The following is an 18232-nucleotide window of genomic DNA, read 5'->3' on the forward strand; positions in this document are numbered from 1 at the left end:
TCTTTTGCCCAGGCTGGAGTGCAGTGGAACAATCGTGGCTCACTGCAACCTCTGCCTGCCGGGATCAAGCGATTCTCCTGCCTCAGCCTTCTGAGTAGCTGGGATTACAGGCGTACACCACCAAGCCTGGCTAATTTTTGCATTTTAAGTAGAGACGGGGTTTCACCGTGTTGGCCAGGTTGGTCTCGAACTCTTGGCCTCAAGTGATCTGCCTGCCTCAGCCTCCCAAAGTGCTGGGATTACAAGCATGAGCCACTGTGCCTGGCCAACATTTTTTTTTTTTTTGGTAGGGGACAGAGTCTTGCTCTGTGGCCCAGGCTGGAGCACAGTGGCACAGTCTTGGCTCACTGCAGCCTCAACCTCCTGGGCTCAAGCAATCCTCCCACCTCAGCCTCCTAAGTAGCTGGGACTAGAGGCATGTGTCACCACATCTGGCTAATCTTTTAATTTTTTTGTACAGACAGGGTCTCACTATGTTGCCCAGTCTGGTTACAAACTCCTGGACTCAAGCAATCCTCCTGCCTTGGCCTCCCAAAGTGCTGGTGTACAGGTGTGAGCCACTGTATCCAGCCTTTTTTTTTTTTAGAGACAGGGTCACTGGGCGTGGTGGCTCACGCCTGTAATCCCAGCACTTTGGAGGCTGAGGCAGGCGGATCACGAGCTCAGGTGATCGAGACCATCCTTGCTAACACGGTGAAACCCCATCTCTACTAAAAATACATAAAATTAGCCAGGCGTGGTGGCAGGCGCCCGTAGTCCCAGCTACTCGGGAGACTGAGGCAGGAGAATCGCTTGAACCCAGGAGGTGGGGCTTGCAGTGAGCCGAGATCGCGCCACTGCACTCCAGCCTGGGCGACAGAGCGAGACTCCGTCTAAAAAAAAAAAAAAAAAAAAAGAGACAGGGTCTTTCTCTGTTGCCCAGGCTGGAGTGTAATGGCACGATCATAGGTCACTGCAGCCTCAACTCCTGTGATCAAGTGGTAGTCTGGCTTTTTTTTTTTTTTTTTCTGTTTCTCTGGTGATTCTAATGTCCAGTCAGGGTTGAGAACTTCTGTGGTAAAGGCAAAGTACCTACACCAGTATTCTTCTATCTACTGTAGCCCAAGACTAACTTTTCCATCATGCCTAGCCTAGTTGGTGACACTGGTGGTAAGGTTAATACTGAGGGTTCTGGAGTCACTCCATGTAGGTTCAAATTCTGCCTCTGTTGCTTGTTAGCTGTGTGAACTTGGGCAGGTGGCTCCACCTCTCTGAGCCTACTGTTTTCTTATCTCCTAATTGGGGATAATAACACCAGCCTCAAAGGGCTGTTCTGTATGAGATAGGTAATGCATGTGAAGTGTTTAGCACAGTGCCTGGCACCTGATAAGCACTCAATAGATTGTAACTATTCATATTCTCTCTGTTTTTCTGCAGTCATGAACTGTTATATGTCCTACTTAAATCCAGCTTCTAGAGTTAGACTATACTTAGGTCTTCTATTTTTTTTTTTTTTTTTTGAGATGGAGTCTTGCTCTGTTGTCCAGGCTGGAGTGCAGTGGCGTGATCTCAGCTCACTGCAACTTCCGCCTCCTGGGTTCAAGCAATCTTCCTGACTCACCCTCCCAAGTAGATGAGATTATAGGCACCTGGCTAATTTTTGTAATTTTAGTAGAGACGGGGTTTCACCATGTTAGCCATGGCTGGTCTCGAGCTCCAGACCTCAAGTGATCAGCCCGCCTGGGCCTCCCAAAGTGCTGGGATTACAGGCATGAGACACCACACCTGGCCTAGGTCTTCTAAGTTATTTCAGAATTCCCCTCTCCCAGCCTCTGTCCTTGCAACGGATCCATCCCCCATGCTGGGTCCCTCTTTAGTAAACGGGAAGCATTTTAAATCTAGCCCAAAGCCTCAAAGAACTTCTTAGGAGTGGTTCAGATGTTCCCAGCCCCAGGCTCTACCCCTTCTTGCCTATTAGAGGCCACACCTTCAGTGACACTGTGAGGGCAACTTTGAATACCAGAATGGGATATTACAATCACAAAGCCAGACTTAGATAGTTGAAAGTGCCCACCACCTCTGTTCCTGAGAGTTGGGCCTGAGACAGAGGATTCTAAGTGGAAACCACGCTTAACTAAGAGGACCCAAGAAAGGCAAGCTCTTTTTAAAAAATTTTTTTTTCATTTTTTGTCTCACTCTGTCACCCAGGCTGGAGTGCAATGGCACAATCATGGCTCACTGCAGCCTTAACCTCCTGGGCTCAAGCCATCTTCCCACCTCAGCCTCCCAAGTAGCTGGGACTACAGGCACATGCCACCATGCCTGGCTAATTTTTATATTTGTTGTAGAGAAGTTTTCACCATGTTGCCCAGGCTAAGTCAAAGTCTTCTTTTTTTTATTTTTTATTATTTATTTATTATTATTATTTTTTGAGATGCAGTCTCGCTCTGTCGCCCAGGCTGAAGTGCCATCTCTGCTCACTGCAAACTCCACTTCCCGGGTTCCTCAGCCTCCCTAGCAGCTGGGACTGCCAGTGCCCGCCACCACGCCCGGCTAATTTTTTGTATTTTAATAGAGACGGGGTTTCACCGTGTTAGCCAGGATGGTCTCGATCTCCTGACCTCGTGATCCGCCTGCCCGCCTCGGCCTCCCAAAGTGCTGGGATTACAGGCGTGAGCCACCGTGCCTGACCTTTTTTTTTTTTTTAAAGATTGTATTATTCATCAGAGTGTAATTGGTTTTTCTTTTTCTTTTCTTTTCTTTTCTTTCTTTTTTTTTTTTTTTTTGAGACAGATTCTCACTCTGTCGCCCAGGCTGGAGTGTAGTGGCAAGATCTTGGCTCACTACAACCTCCACCTCAATTGATTCTCCTGCCTCAGCCTCCTGATTAGCTGGGACTACAGGACCTGCCACCACTCCCAGCTAATTTTTGTATTTTTATTAGAGATGGGGTTTCGCCATGTTGGCCAGGCTTGTCTTGAACTCCTGACCTCAAGTGATCCGCCAGCCTCAACCTCCCAAAGTGCTGAGATTACAGGCGTGAGCCACCACCCCTAGCCTAAGTCAAACTTTTAACGCCCTATTTCTAGACGCTGGATGAGCAGGTTGGTGGATAGAAGAGGACTCAGCCAACACCCTCGAAGCTTGCTCTCATCCTCCCATCTGGCAAATTTTTCTTCAGGACTCCTCCCCATGGAAACCTTTCCTAAGTGGCACACCCCAAGATGACTAGCACCTGGAGCAGTCCTTTGGGGTTCCTCTGCGGCCAGAAGCGTTCACTCAGCCTCCAGCACATGTCAGATCTGTAGGTTTCCGTGGACAATGAGAACAATGGAGGGGCCTCAGAGCTGGGAAGGAAGAGAGGAGGACCCACCATTAATTGGGGCCCCCCTAGGTGACAGGTGCTATACATCCTTTATCTTACATAATCACTGCAACGGTGTCTGTTTTCCTCATCAAATACCCAACATCTAGTAGAATAGATACTTGCTAACTATTTAATTATGGCAACAGTAAAACAGCTACCATTTATTGAGGGCTTACTATGTGTCAGGGACTCTTCAAAGTGCCTCATATCTCTTAACTCATATAATATTTGCTGGATGAGAATTTTGATAACAACGCTATAAGGCTGGACTCTTTTTGTTTTATTTCATTTTATTTTATTTTTTGAGACAGAGTCTTGCTCTATCACCCAGGCTGCAGTGTGGTGGCACGATCTTGGCTCACTGCAACCTCCACCTCCCAGGTTTAAGTAATTCTTCTGCCTCAGCCTCCCAAGTAGCTGAGATTACAGGTGCCCACCACCACCCCCGCCTAATTTTTTGTATTTTTAATAGAGACAGGGTTTTACCATGTTGGCCAGGCTGGTCTTGAACTCCTGACCTCAGGTAATCCACCTGCCTCAGCCCCCCAAAGTGCTGGGATTACAGGCATGAGCCTCCGAACCCGGCCTGTTTTATTTCATTTTTTAAAAATAAAGATGAGTTTTCACCGTGTTGCCCAGGCTGGTCTTGAACTCCTGAGCTCAAGCAGTCATTCCACCTCAGCCTCCCAAAGTGCTAGGATTATATGTGTGAGCCACCACACCCAGATAAGCTGGACTCTTTGTTCCTGTTTTATATAACATAAAACTAGACCGGGTGCAGTGGCTCATGCGTGGTAATCCCAGCACTTTGGGAGGCTGGAGCGGGCAGATCACTTAAACTCAGGAGTTCAAGACCAGCCTGGGCAACATGGTGAAATCCCGTCTCTATTTAAAAAAATACAAAACAAATTAGCCAGGTGTGGTGGTGTGTGCCTGTAATCCCAGCTACTTGGGAGGTTGAGGCAGGAGAATTGCTTGCACCTGGGAGGCAGAGGTTGCAGTGAGCCGAGATTGCGCCACTGCACTCCAGCCTGGGCGACAGAGTGAGACTCTGTCTCAAAAAACAAAAACAAAACAAAACAAAAACTTGAAACGGACACATAGAGAAGGTAAAGAGATGGTGGAAGGGCAGACAGGTCATAGGTGGATGGTGGGGTTAGGCTTTGAATCCAGGGCCATGTGGTACCCCAGGAAGTGGAAGGGTCTGGGTTTGAGTGACTGAGATGGGGGCACAAAGAGAGGAACTGAGTGGGCATTGAAGGAGGTGATTCTAAGGAAGAAGGAGCAAAGGGTAGCCAGGCACGGTGGCTCATGCTTGTAATCCTAGCATTTTGGGAGGCCAAGGCAGGAGGATCGCTTGAGGCCAGGAGGTTGAGACGAGTCTGGGCACCATAACAAGACCCTGTCTCTACCAAAAAACAGAACAAAACAAAACAAAACCAGATATGGTGGCGCACACCTGTAGTCTCATGTAGTCCCAGCTACTTTGAAGACTGAGACAGGACGATCACTTGAACCTAGGAATTCAAGGCTGGAGTGAGCTATAATCATGCCACTGCATTCCAGCCTGGGCAACAGAGCCAGACGCTGTCTCTACAAAAAATAAAAATATTAGCCGGTGCCATGATAAGTATTTTTTTTTTTTAATTAGCCAGGCATAGTGGCACACGCTGCAGTCCCATCTATGGGAAGGCTGAGGTAGAAGGATCACTTGAGCCCAGGAGGTGAAGACTTCAGTGAGCTATGATTACACCACTGTACTCCAGCCTGGGCGACAAAGTGAGACTCGGTCTCCAAACAAACAAACAAATGGCTGGTGAGTATTTGGGAGGAATCACTGCCCCGTGGCTGTCCCCTTAAGCCAGTGTCTCAGATGCTGCCTCTGAGGTCCAGCCATTCCCTAAGAAATGCTGACATCAAGGTCCACACCTCCTTCCCACAGGAGGAGTTGGAAATGAATCTCAAATTTCACCAAGGCCCCTGCTGGGGGATGGGGGTGGAGGTTGTGCCAGTGATCACAAGTCCCGATTTTCATGAGCGTCTCTGCTCAGATCCTGTCCCAGAGGCCTAGCACTAGGGTAGAATGACAATAGTCTTCCCAGCGTTGCCTGAGATGAGTCATAGGTGACGCCCCTGCCCTACAGCCTGGGCCTACCTGGGCAGGTAGAAGCATGTCTCAAACCCCTCTGGCCGCTGCCAGTGGTTCAGAGGATCCTGTCGTAGTCAGCCTCATTCCCCAACTGAGAAACCCCTGGCGTTGGCTTGACGGGGGAAAAACAGAGCTGATCTGCTATCCTGAGTCAGCTGTTGGGAGAACCTGACTTCTCAGGTGAGACAAGGACCCCCAACAAGGCGAGGCCTGGGAATGCTACCCAAGAAAAGGAAACAGATGTGACCCTTCTGCTCCGAGCTCATTCCATGGTGACTCAAATAACCGAGTCTTCCCTGGCCTCTCAGCTCCAGCACCTCGGCCATTCCCGTATCACTGCTCAGTTTACCTTGACTCATCTGGTTACTTGACTGTTATCTCCCTTGCTACCCTGGAAGCTCTACCCTGTTGCTCCTCGCTGCCCACCTGGCATGGAGCTTGGCACAGAGCTTGGCACAGAGCAGGTGCAGAACTGGTATGGATGAGCTGTGAATATAAAGGGACCCAGTTTACTGGCTCATGCCTGCAATCCCAGCACTTCGGGAGGCCAAGGCAGGCAGATCACTTGAGGCCAGGAATTCAAGACCAGCCTGGCCAACATGGTGAAACCCCATCTCTACTAAAAATACAAAAATTAGCCAGGTGTGGTGGCACACGCCTGTAATTCCAGCTACTAAGGAGGTTGAGGCAGGAGAATCACTTGAACCTGGGAGGCAGAGGTTGCAGTGAGCCGAGATCATGGCATTGCACTCCAGCCTGGGCGACAGTGAGACTCTGTTTCAAAAAAATATATATATATATTATATATAATATATATTATATAATTTATGTATAATATATGTATAATATATAATATATATTATATAATATATGTATAATATATAATATATATTATATAATATGTATAATATATAATATATATTATATAATATGTATAATATATAATATATATTATATAATATATGTATAATATATAATATATATTATATAATATATGTATAATATATATTATATATTATATAATTAATGTATAACATATATTACATAATATATGTATAATATAATATAATATGTATTACATAATATATGTATAATATATAATATATAATATATGTATATTATTAATATATTATATATAATATATGTATATTAATATATTATACATAATATATGTATATTAATATATTATACATAATATATGTATATTAATATATTATATATAATATATGTATATTAATATATTATATATAATATATGTACAATATATAATATATAATATATCTATATTATAGATATATATTATATATAATATATCTATATTATACATGTATAATATATCATATTATACATGTATAATATATCATATTATACATGTATAATATATCATATTATACATGTATAATATATCATATTATACATGTATAATATAGTATAATATATCTATATTATACTATATTATATATAATATATCTATATTATACATATATAATACATATTATACATATATAATATAATATATCATATTATACATATATTATATATATAATATAACTATATTATACATATATTATATATATTACGTATAATATATCTATATTATACATATACTATATATAATATATAATATATAATATATAATATAATATATCTATATTATATATATCTATATATAATATAGATATATTATATATAATATATGTATAATATGGATATAATATATAATATATATAATATAGATAGATATAATATATCTTATATATAATATAGATAGATATAATATATCTTATATATAATATAGACAGATATAATATATCTTATATATAATATAGATAGATATAATATATCTTATATATAATATAGATAGATATAATATATCTTATATATAATATAGATAGATATAATATATATTATATATAATATAGATAGATATAATATATTATATATAATATAGATAGATATAATATATTATATATAATATAGATAGATATAATATATTATATATAATATAGATAGATATAATATATTATATATAATATAGATAGATATAATATATATTATATATAATATAGATAGATATAATATATGTATAATACAGATATATTATATATAATATATGTGTAATACAGATATATCATATATAATATATGTGTAATACAGATATATCATATATAATATATGTATAATACAGATATATCATATTATATATATGTATAATACAGATATATTATATTATATATAATATGTGTATAATACAGATATATTATATTATATATAATATGTATAATACAGATATATTATATTATATATAATATATGTATAATATAGATATTATATATGTATACTACAGATATATTATATATTATATATTATATATTATATATTATACATATATTATACATATATGCTATAGTATACATATATTATAGATATTATAGATATATCATATATTATATATATCTATAATATATCTATATATTATAGATATATATATTATATATATCTATAATATATCTATATATTATAGATATATATAATATATGATATATCTATATCTAGATATATCTATATCTAGATATATCTATATCTAGATATATCTAGATATAGATATATCATATATTATAAATATTATAATATATCTATATTATAATATTATGTATATTATCTATATTATATATAATATCTATATTATCTATATTTTATATATTATATATATATATATATATATATATATATATATATATATATATATGTAAAGGGGCCCTGTTTACAGCCACACCCTCTGTCCTGATGCTCCAAACACCCACATCTAGGCCAGTAGGAAGGAAGTCCTGTCTTCCACACAGGTTCCCTTCACCAAGTATCCCAGGAATGCTCTGGGTTCCGATGGGGCTGTGGGTTGTCAGCAGGGCTCCTTCTAGGTCTGGAAGGGGCTGCTTCAGCTGTGGCTAGAGCTGCTCTTTGCAGGCAGAAGGCCCTCTGCCTGCTGTCTGTGGGTCTCAGGCACTGCACCACGGCCCACTTCCCTCCAGGGCCTGTCTTTCTCGGACGCTTACTCCTGACCCCTCTCTCCAGCCAGCCCCTGCAGTGCCTTCTGTTGAGCTCTGTGAAAGAGTGGATTGGGCCCCAAGTGAGCCCTCTTCGTCTCAGAGCAGTGAAGGCTATGGGAGGATGAGGAGGGGCTGAATCTGGGGGTTCAAACACAGCCTCAGATTGTTTCTGGAACCCCCCTTCTCTCCAATCTCCAGACTCAGCCCTCAAGTCAGGCGGGCTGGGTGTCTTCCTTCTGCAGTTTTCTCCTGGAGCACCCCCATCCCCTCCCGCCCCTGCAACTTCTGTCTGTACCTGGCAAACCTGTTGGGCTGGTTTGGAGTTTTCCGAATCCCAGGTTCAGACACCGGACATGATGTCATTTATTTCCCAGGAAGCCTGTGGGTCCCACGTAACTCAGGGGGATGGCTGCACACATTCCACACAGTGTCGTGCCTACCCACTCATATTCCATCTCCACAGCTATCGGGGGCATCTTTCCAGAGCCCATAGGACCCCTCTGAAGGGCACTGTGGTGTGATTGCTCCGCCCTGGCCCAGCCAAAAGCAAAATAAAAACCCAAGAACTCTGCCCAACAATACAAAAAACAGGGGAAGAGGCTGGGCATAGTGGTTCATGCCTGTAATCCCAGCACTTTGGGAGACCGAGGTGGGCAGATCACTTGAGGTCAGGAGTTCGAGACCAGCCTGGCCAACATGGTGAAAATCTGTCTCTACTAAAAATACAAACATCAGCTGGATGTGGTGGCATGCGCCTGTAGTTCCAGCTACTCTGGAGGTTAAGACAGGAGAATCGCTTGAACCTGGGAGGCAGAGGTTGCAGTGAGCTGAGATGGTGCCACTGCACTCCAGCCTGGGTGACATAGCGAGACTCTGTCTCAAAAAAAAAAAAAAAAAATCAGGGGAAGAGAATGAACATTTCTCAAGCACTCACTATGAGCGAAGCATCCCACTGGGTCCTTCCAAATGTAAGATCTCAGAATCCCCTCTTTCATAAACTTTTAGTGAACACCTACTTTTCTGTATCATACTTTATGGACCTGATTGAATTTTCGCAGCATTCCTGTGAACTATTATTTCCATTTCAGAGTTGCAAAGACTGAGGCTCAGAGAGGTTAAGGGACTTGCCCAGGGTTACACAGCTCTCCAGTGACGCTAGGGCCTGTGCTCCTCTCACTTAGCCACATCCCATGCCCAGTTGTGGCCTCCAAAGACAGGCTCAAGGAAAACAAGGCATGACCCGCAACATTCTACTCATCTAAACAAGAGGTGCAAACTCTTTTTTTTTTTTTGACACAGAGTCTTGTTCTGTCGCCCAAGCTGGAGTGCAATGGAGCGATCTTGGCTCACTGCAGCCTCCGCCTCCCAGGTTGAAGTGATTTTCCTGCGTCAGCCTCCTGAGTAGGTGAGATTGCAGGTACGCATCTCCATGCCTGGCTAATTTTTGTATTTTTTAGTAGAGACAGGGTTTCACCAAGTTGGCCAGGTTGGTCTTGAACTCCTGACCTCAAGTGATCCACCCACCTCGGCCTCCCAAAGTGTTGGGATTACAGGCTTGAGCCACCATGCCCGGCCAAGAGGTGCAAACTCAAATGCCTCCTGGATTCAAATAATTTAATTAAAAAAAAACTATTTATTTATTTATTTGAGCCAGGGTCTCACTCTGTTGCCCAGGCTGGAGTGCAGTGGTACAACCACGGCTCACTGTAACCTCGAACTCCTGGGTTCAAGTGATCCTCCTGCCTCAGCCTCCTGAATAGCTAGGATTGCAGGTGTGATCCACTGCACCTGTCCCCAAATAGATTATTTAAATGAGTGAAGTGGTCACATCCCATCTAAAGGGGGTAGGTTCCACTCAACTTCAGCTGAATGTTGCTATGTGGGACTGTGGGTAGGTACGGCCAGATCTTCTGATTTTTCAAGAAAATCTGGGAATCTGAAACTTTAATATATTTCCAGACAAAGCACATCCAATGCTAGCTCTATCAGGCTGACAATTTGACCCTCCGAACTAAAAGATCCTCCATGATGTTTGGAAGGGTTCTGGGCCTATAAGACAGCTGTTTTTGAGTTTTGTACTGTGTTTAGACCCTCAAGATACCCCTGTTTCTGGGGAGAGAAGGTTGAAAGCAGAAGATTCACAAGACATGCACAACCAAAAGGCATAACACATTTAAGGAAAGACGTGTGGCTCTATCATTCTATCACAGGACCACTTGAAGGTCTGAACTCATTAGGGGCTTCAGTTGCCAAAAATGGAATCTAATTCTGGGTAACTTAGCCAGAAAGAAATTTGTTAGAAGGATATCTGGAAGCTTAGAGAATTGGCAAGAGAAATAGGATCAGGAAATTGGCAGAAACCAAGGGGAGCTGAATGGCTGCAACCAGCGCTAAGGATTTTGCCAGAAACAGCTGCTGCCACTGTGGGACATAGGAGACCACATTAATTCTAGACCATCCCTTTTTCTAGGTACCCCCCACCTTGTGTTTCCAGAGATTTCTTTCTTTCTTTTTACTTTCCTTTTATTTTGAGATGGAGTCTTGCTCTCTCTCCCAGGCTGGAGTGCAGTGGCATGATCTCGACTCACTGCAACCTCTGCCTCCCGGGTTCAAGCAATTCTTGTGCCGCAGCCTCCTGAGTAGCTGGGATTACAGGCACACGCCACCATGCCCGGCTAATTTTTTTTTTTTTTTTTTTTTTGAGACGGAGTCTCACTCTGTCACCCAGGCTGGAGTGCAGTGGTGCGATCTCGGCTCACTGCAAGCTCCGCCTCCCGGGTTCACGCCATTCTCCAGCCTCAGCCGCCCGAGTAGCTGGGACTACAGGCGCCCGCCACCACACCTGGCTAATTTTTTGTATGTTTAGTAGAGATGGGGTTTCACCATGTTAGCCAGGATGGTCTCGATCTCCTGACCTCGTGATCCGCCTGCCTCAGCCTCCCAAAGTGCTGGGATTACAGGCGTGAGCCACCACATCCACCCTAGATATTTAATCGAAATGATCCAGCTTGGTGAGGGCAAGTATCTGACCCTCTTGTCTTTCAATATCGGAATAAAGAAACTGAGCCTCAGAGCAGGCTCATGACTTGCCCAACGTCACACAGAAAGCTTGTGGTCAAGCCACATGTCAAATCCAGACCTCCTGACTCTGGTTTTCTAATCGAACTGTAAAGTGCTTCAGGACTCATGAGAAGGGAGAGGAATGTGAGGCATGGCGACCAGGAATGAGGCACCTTGGTGGAAGTGGAGGGTGGAAGATGGAGGAACATCCTAAAGGATGGCTAAAGCTGGGAGAGAACACAGGGGAGAAATGAAAATAAAACAATGCTATAAAGGGGCTGGCGTGGTGGCTCACGCCTGTAATCCCAGCACTTTGGGAAGCCGAAGAGGGCAGATTGCCTGGACTGAGGAGTTCAAGGCCAGCCTGGGCAACGTGATGAAAACCTTCCTCTACTAAAAACACAAAAAATTAGGCCAGGCTCGGTCGCTCACGCCTGTAATCCCAGCACCTTGGGAGGCCGAGGTGGGCGGATCACCTGAGGTCGGGAGTTTGAGACCAGCCTGACCAACATGGAGAAACCCCATCTCTACTAAAAAAATACAAAATTAGCTGGGCATGGTGGCACATGCCTGTAATCCCAGCTACTTGGGAGGCTGAGGCAGGAGAATCGCTTGAACCCAGGAGGCAGAGCTTTCGGTGAGCCGAGGTGGTGCCATTGCACTCCAGCCTGGGCAACAAGAGCGAAACTCCACCTCAAAAAAAAAAAAAAAAAAAAAATTAGCCGGGCGTGGTGGCAGCATGCAGCTGTAGTCCAAACTACTCGGGAGGCTGAGGCATAAGAATTGCTTTAACCTGGGAAGTGGAGATTGCAGTGAGCAGAGATCATGCCACTGCACTCCAGCCTAGGCAACAGAGCAAGATTGTCTCAAAAAAAAAAAAAAAAAAAGGGTGCAACGGAAGTGAAGTCACAGAGGAGAAAATGCTGTCCTAACTTAGGGCTGGACAGTTCTTTTTAGAGCTGGGGTTGACCGGGCAGGGTCAGGTTTATGAGAGGACACTGAAGCCACGCGTAGAAGAGGCGTGTGGACTCTGCCAGCTGTCAGCACACCGGGCTGTCACGATGCACTCAGGTTCCAATAATGTGCTGAGAATGCAGGAAAGGCAGCTCAGGGCTTTATAGACTCGCTGCCCCCAGTCCATCCAGAGGCCCAGAGAGGCCAAGCTACTCACCCAAGGACACACAGGCCTTGAAATCTGATACTTTCTGAATCCCAGCACTGCATGGCCTTTGCGTTCTGTGAGTGGCTCACACTGGGGAGCTGGTGACACCCTGACATGGGCTCCATACTTGCTGCTCCTTCTGCTTTTCTTCCAGTGGCACACTTGAGGGATGCAGGGACTCACATAGGACCAATTCCTGCCCCACTGTGTCCCCTAAGTAACCCACATCCAAAATATATCCCGAATTCAGCCATTTTCCTTCTTAGGTCAATTCATTCCTTCTCTCTCTCTCTTTCTCTCTCTCTCCTCTGTCAGAGAGACAGGGTCTTGCTCTGTCACCCAGGCTGGAGTGCAGTGATGTGGTACAATCATAGCTCACTGCAGCCTTGAATTTCTGAGCTCAAGCAATCCTCTTGCCTCAGCCTCCCAACTAGTTGAACTACAGGCATGTGCCACTGCATCCAGCCAAGTTTTTTTTGTTTTTGTTTTTAGTAGAGACAAAGTCTCGTCATGTTGCCCAGGCTGGTCTCAAACCCCTGGGGTCAAGCAATCCTCCTGCCTTGGCCTCCCAAAGTGCTGGGATTACAGGCTTGAGCCATGGCGCTGCCACCGCCTACTCCTCCTCCTCCTCCTCCTCTTCCTCTTCTTCTTCCTCTTCTTTTTTTTTTTTTTTGAGTTGTACAAGAAAATGAGAGGCCAAAGGCCCGTGATTTACAGGCAGCCTGGTGGAGGAGAAGTGGTGTGTAGTGCTGTTACATGGTCTCTAGGGCCATATACTCCGGTTTGAGTTTCTAGTTCTTTGACTATATGACTGTGGCTAAGCAATGAAGCTTTCTAGACCTGCGTTCTCATTCATTAAATAGGAATGATAACACCTCATAAGTATCTAAATGAGATACTGTAGGTAAGTGTACATCATAGAATTTTAAATCTGGTAAGTGTGTGGTAGGCTGAATAATAACCCCTAAAAGATGTCCAGGTCCTGCCGGGAGCAGGCTCACACCTGTAATCCCAGCACTTTGGGAAGCCAAGGTGGCGGGATCACCTGAGGTTGGGAGTTCAAGACCAGCCTGACCAACATGGAGAAACCCCCTCTCTACTAAAAATACAAAATCAGCTGGCCGTGGTGGCACATGCCTGTAATCCCAGCTACTCAGGAAGCTGAGGCAGGAGAATTTCTTGAACCCGTGAGGTGGAGGTTGCGTTGAGCCAAGATCGCGCCATTGCACTCCAGCCTGCGCAACAAGAGCAAAACTCTGTCTCAAAAAAAAAAAAAAGATGTCCATGTCCTAATCTCTAGAACTCTAGAACCTATGATTATAGGAAAGGAGACTTTGTAGATGCATCAAATTAATATTTTTGAGATGAGGAGATTATCCTGGATTATCTAGCCCAATATAATCACACAGGTCCTTGGAAGAGGTGGGCACACCAGAGTGAGCGGTAGCAGATTTGACGATGGAAACAAGAGGTTGTAGTGATCGATGAAGGGAATGTGAGCCAAGGAATGCAGGTGGTCCTCTAGAAGATGAAAAAGGCAAGGACACATTCTTCCCTCAGAGCCCTCACAGGGAACTAGCCCTATAAAACCGATGTCAGATTCATGACCTCCGCAACTATGAGAATAAGCTTGTGTAAAGTCAATATTTGTGGTAATTTCTACAGCAGCAGTAGGAAACTAATATAGGATGTTACTCACATTTATTCATTTGTTTACTTATTTATGAGACAAAGTCTCGCTCTGTTCAGGCTGGAGTGCGGTGGTGTGATCTCGGCTCACTGCAACCTCCGCTTCTCAGGTTCAAGTGATTCTTCTGCCTCAGCCTCCCAAGTAGCTGGGATTACAAGTGTGCACCACTACAGCTGGCTCATTTTTATATTTTTAGTAGAGATGGGGTTTCACTATGTTGGCCAGGCTGGTCTTGAACTCTTGGTCTCAAGTGATCTGCCTGCCTCAGCCTCCCAAAGTGCCAGGATTACAGGCATGAGCCACCGTGCCCAGCCTCTTCTTCTTTTCTTCTTCCTTCTCCTCCTCCTTTTTTGATTGAGATATAGTTCACAAACTATAAAATTCACCCTTTTAAAGTGTGCAATTCAGTGGTTTTTAGTGTAGCTATCAACTTGCCCAACCACTTTCATAATCTACTTCCAAACCATTTTTATCTTCCCCAAAGAAACCCCACACCCATTCACCGTCATTCCCCATTCTCTCACCACCCCCAACCTCAAGCCCTTGTCAACATCTAATCTAATTTCTATCTCTATGGAGATGCCTATTCTGGACATTGCATATAAATGGAATCATACGATTTACAGTCTTCTGTGTCTGGCTTCTTTCACTCTGCAGAATGTTTTCAAGGTTCATCCATGTTGCAGTGTGTCAGTACTGCATTCCTCTTTTTTTTTTTTTTTTTTTTTTTTTTTTTTGAGACAGACTCTTGCTCTGTTGCCCAGGCTGGAGTGCAGTGGCACGATCTCAGCTCACTGCAACCTCCGCCTCCTAGGCTTAAGCAATTCTCATGCTTCAGCCTCCCGAGTAGCTGGGATTACAGGCCTGTGCCACCACACCCGGCTAATGTTTGTATTTTTAGTAGAGATGAGATTTTACCAGGTTGGCCAGGCTGATCTTGAACTCCTGGCCTCAAGTGATCCACCCACATTGGCCTCCCAAAGTGCTGGGATTACAGGCATGAGCCACTGTGCCCAGCTGCATTGCTTGTTATGGTCAGAATGATTCTATTGTACAGATAGGCCACATTCTGTTCCCTCGGTGGATGGACATTTGGGTTGTTTCCACTTTTGAACTACTATAAAGCTGCTATGAGCTTTCATATATAAGTTTTTGTGTGAACATGGTTACTGCTTGCCTGGATGAGACCGTTAACCTCCTCACTGGACTCTCAGCCTCTGCCCTTAACCCACACAGGGTCCATCCTCCTCACAGCAGCCAGAGGAGTCCTTTGAAAGTCAGGTCATGTCATTCCTGTGTTCTAAACCACCAGTGGCTCCCCAGTGCCCTGAGGATAAAGTTGAAGACCCAGCACAATCTCCACCCCAGCTCCAGCCCCACTTCTTCTTCACTGGCTGGCTCTCAGTTCCTCAAATGAGCAATCCTCCTTCCTGCCTCCCTCCCTCTGCAAGTGCCGGCCTTCTGCTTGGAATGCTTCTCCGGCTCCTTATTCCCTTCTGCCTTTAACTCCTCTTCATCCTTCAGGTCTCCAGGGAAAATCAGGGTTCAGGGAGGCCTTCTTTCTCTCTCTCTCTCTCTCTCTTTTTTTTTTTTTTTTGAGACAGCATCTCACTCTGTCGCCCAGGCTGGAGTGCAGTGGAGCGATCTCGGCTCACTGCAGCCTCAACCTCTGCGTCTCAGCCTCCTGAGTAGCTGGGATCACAGGCACGCACCACCAGGCTGGTGAATTATTTATTTATTTTTTGTGACAGAGTTTCGCGCTTGTTGCCCAGGCTGGAGTGCAATGGTGCAATCTCAGCTCACCGCAACCTCCACCTCCCAGCTTCAAGCAATTTTCCTGCCTCAGCCTCCCGAGTAGCTGGGATTATAGGCATGCACCATCACACCCGGCTAATGTTGTATTTTTAGTAGAGATGGAGTTTGTCCATATTGGTCAGGCTGGTCTCGAACTCCTGACCTCAGGTGATCCGCCCCCCTCAGCCTCCCAAAGTGCTGGGATTACAGGCGTGAGCCACTGCGCCCGGCCTGAATTTTTTAGTTTTTTTGTAGAGACTGGGTCTGGCTATGTTGCCCAGACTGGTAGGGAAGCCTTCACTGATCTTCCCACTAAGAGGCACTAGGGGTGGGTAATGAGGTTGGAAGGGCAGAGTGAGGGGGTTTGTCTTGGAGCTACCTGTTGGTCACTGTAGAAGACGTTGTGGGTGTCCTGCCCAGATCCTTTTTCTCAGCAGATGCTTCCATTCCCCAGCTGCTAGGAGTGTTGGCTGCTCCCTTCTCCAGAGAACTGTGTTCACGCAAGGGGCCCTGCCACTCCTGGGAGGTTACGACATCTCCATTCCACTCCCCTGCCTAGCAGCCTGCAATGACATCAAACGGGTACAAAAGGCTGGCCTCAGCCAGGCTCAGTGGCTCACGCCTGTAATCCTAACACTTTGGGAGCTGAGGCGGGCAGATCACCTGAAGTCAGGAGCTCAAGACCAGCCTGGCCAACATGGTGAAACCCCGTCTCTACTAAAAATACAAAAATTAGCTGGGCATGGTGGTGCATGCCTATAATCCCAGCTACTCCGGAGGCTAAGGCAGGAGAATCGCTTGAATCCAGGAGGCAGAGGTTGCAGTGACCCAAGATCATGCCACTGAACTCCAGTCTGGGTGACACAGCGAGACTCCATCTAAAAAAAAAAAAAAGGCTGTCCTCCTTGCCTCAAGGTGGGAGGATTCCATGGCGCAGTTTAGACTCCAGTGCACACCCTCCCCATGGTGTGGGTCAGGCCAAGAATAGACTTTACCTGAGGCTTGGACCCTGATCCTCCCCATCCTGCTTCCTCTCCCTCACTCCTTAGTGAATTGTGTATGCCTGTCTCAGACTCCACTTCTAGGGAATTCAGAAATAAGATAATATTTTCCTTTCCATGAGATTGACAAATTGTCCATGTCAATATCCAGCCTTTCCCCTCCCTACTCCTGCTCATGGAAATGAAAGGGAGGAAGGCTAAACCCACCCCCAACCCCTCTTTGGCACTGCCCCTGTGGGTCAGTATCCTGTGAGTGCTTCCCAGGGCACGACACACTTGCCGCCCCTACATTCTTCACTTGTTTTTGTGACTGTTTGTTTTTTTAGAGACAGGGTCTCACTCTGTTGCCCAGGATGTGGTTCAGTGGCACAATCATAGCTCATTGCTCAGTGGCACAATCACAGCTCATTGCAGCCTCCACCTCCCAGGCTCAAGCCATCCTCCTGCCTCAGCCTCTGGAGTAGCTGGAACTACAGGTGTGCATCACCCCACCCAGCTCATTTATTTATTTATTTATTTTTACTTTTCATAGAGATGAGGTGTTACAGTATTGCCCAGGCTGGTATTGAACTCCCAGGCTCAAGTGGTCCTCCCCACTTGAGCCTCCCAAAGTGCTGGGGTTACAGATGTGAGCTACTGCACCCAGCCCTACTGTTGATGGCCTCTCCCCAACTTGATTTTAAGTTCTCTAAGGGCAGGAACCTCATCTGTCTCATTTTCTACCTTATACTCACTACCTGGCACCTTGGGGGACCCTAATAAATATCTGGTGAGGGATGTTCCTTGTCACCCTGTTTATAATACCAAGAGACGGAAAACAACCTAAATGTCCATGAAAGGAGAATTATTAAATATATCATAGCATGGCTTTACAATGGAATACTATACACCCATTAAAAATGAACAGGGCTGGCACAGTAGCTCACGCTTGTAATCCCAGTACTTTGGAAGGCCGAGGCAGGAGGATCACTTGAGGCCAGGAT

The 18232-nt window shown here is 44.8% G+C and overlaps 4 annotated features.

Annotated features, from left to right (window-relative positions):
• Nucleotides 4515-5714: an enhancer, noted in NCBI's record as "P300/CBP strongly-dependent group 1 enhancer chr12:121362870-121364069 (GRCh37/hg19 assembly coordinates)". NCBI's record gives its function as "activates an origin of replication core promoter dependent on BRD2, BRD4, P300/CBP, MED14 and CDK7 cofactors, with strong dependence on P300/CBP, by STARR-seq in HCT116 cells {active_cell/tissue: HCT116}" and the evidence as "EXISTENCE:reporter gene assay evidence [ECO:0000049][PMID:35650434]".
• Nucleotides 5680-6229: an enhancer, noted in NCBI's record as "H3K27ac-H3K4me1 hESC enhancer chr12:121364035-121364584 (GRCh37/hg19 assembly coordinates)". NCBI's record gives its function as "activates a minimal SCP1, AML or CMV promoter by ChIP-STARR-seq in primed H9 embryonic stem cells {active_cell/tissue: H9 hESC(primed)}" and the evidence as "EXISTENCE:reporter gene assay evidence [ECO:0000049][PMID:30033119]".
• Nucleotides 8080-8887: an enhancer, noted in NCBI's record as "H3K27ac hESC enhancer chr12:121366435-121367242 (GRCh37/hg19 assembly coordinates)". NCBI's record gives its function as "activates a minimal SCP1, AML or CMV promoter by ChIP-STARR-seq in primed H9 embryonic stem cells {active_cell/tissue: H9 hESC(primed)}" and the evidence as "EXISTENCE:reporter gene assay evidence [ECO:0000049][PMID:30033119]".
• Nucleotides 8254-8548: a silencer, noted in NCBI's record as "tiled region #8826; K562 Repressive non-DNase unmatched - State 23:Low". NCBI's record gives its function as "represses a minimal TATA promoter and a strong SV40 promoter by Sharpr-MPRA in K562 cells {active_cell/tissue: K562}" and the evidence as "EXISTENCE:reporter gene assay evidence [ECO:0000049][PMID:27701403]".

Source organism: Homo sapiens, chromosome 12, assembly GCF_000001405.40.
Source record: "Homo sapiens chromosome 12, GRCh38.p14 Primary Assembly".
Taxonomy (NCBI): domain Eukaryota; kingdom Metazoa; phylum Chordata; class Mammalia; order Primates; family Hominidae; genus Homo; species Homo sapiens.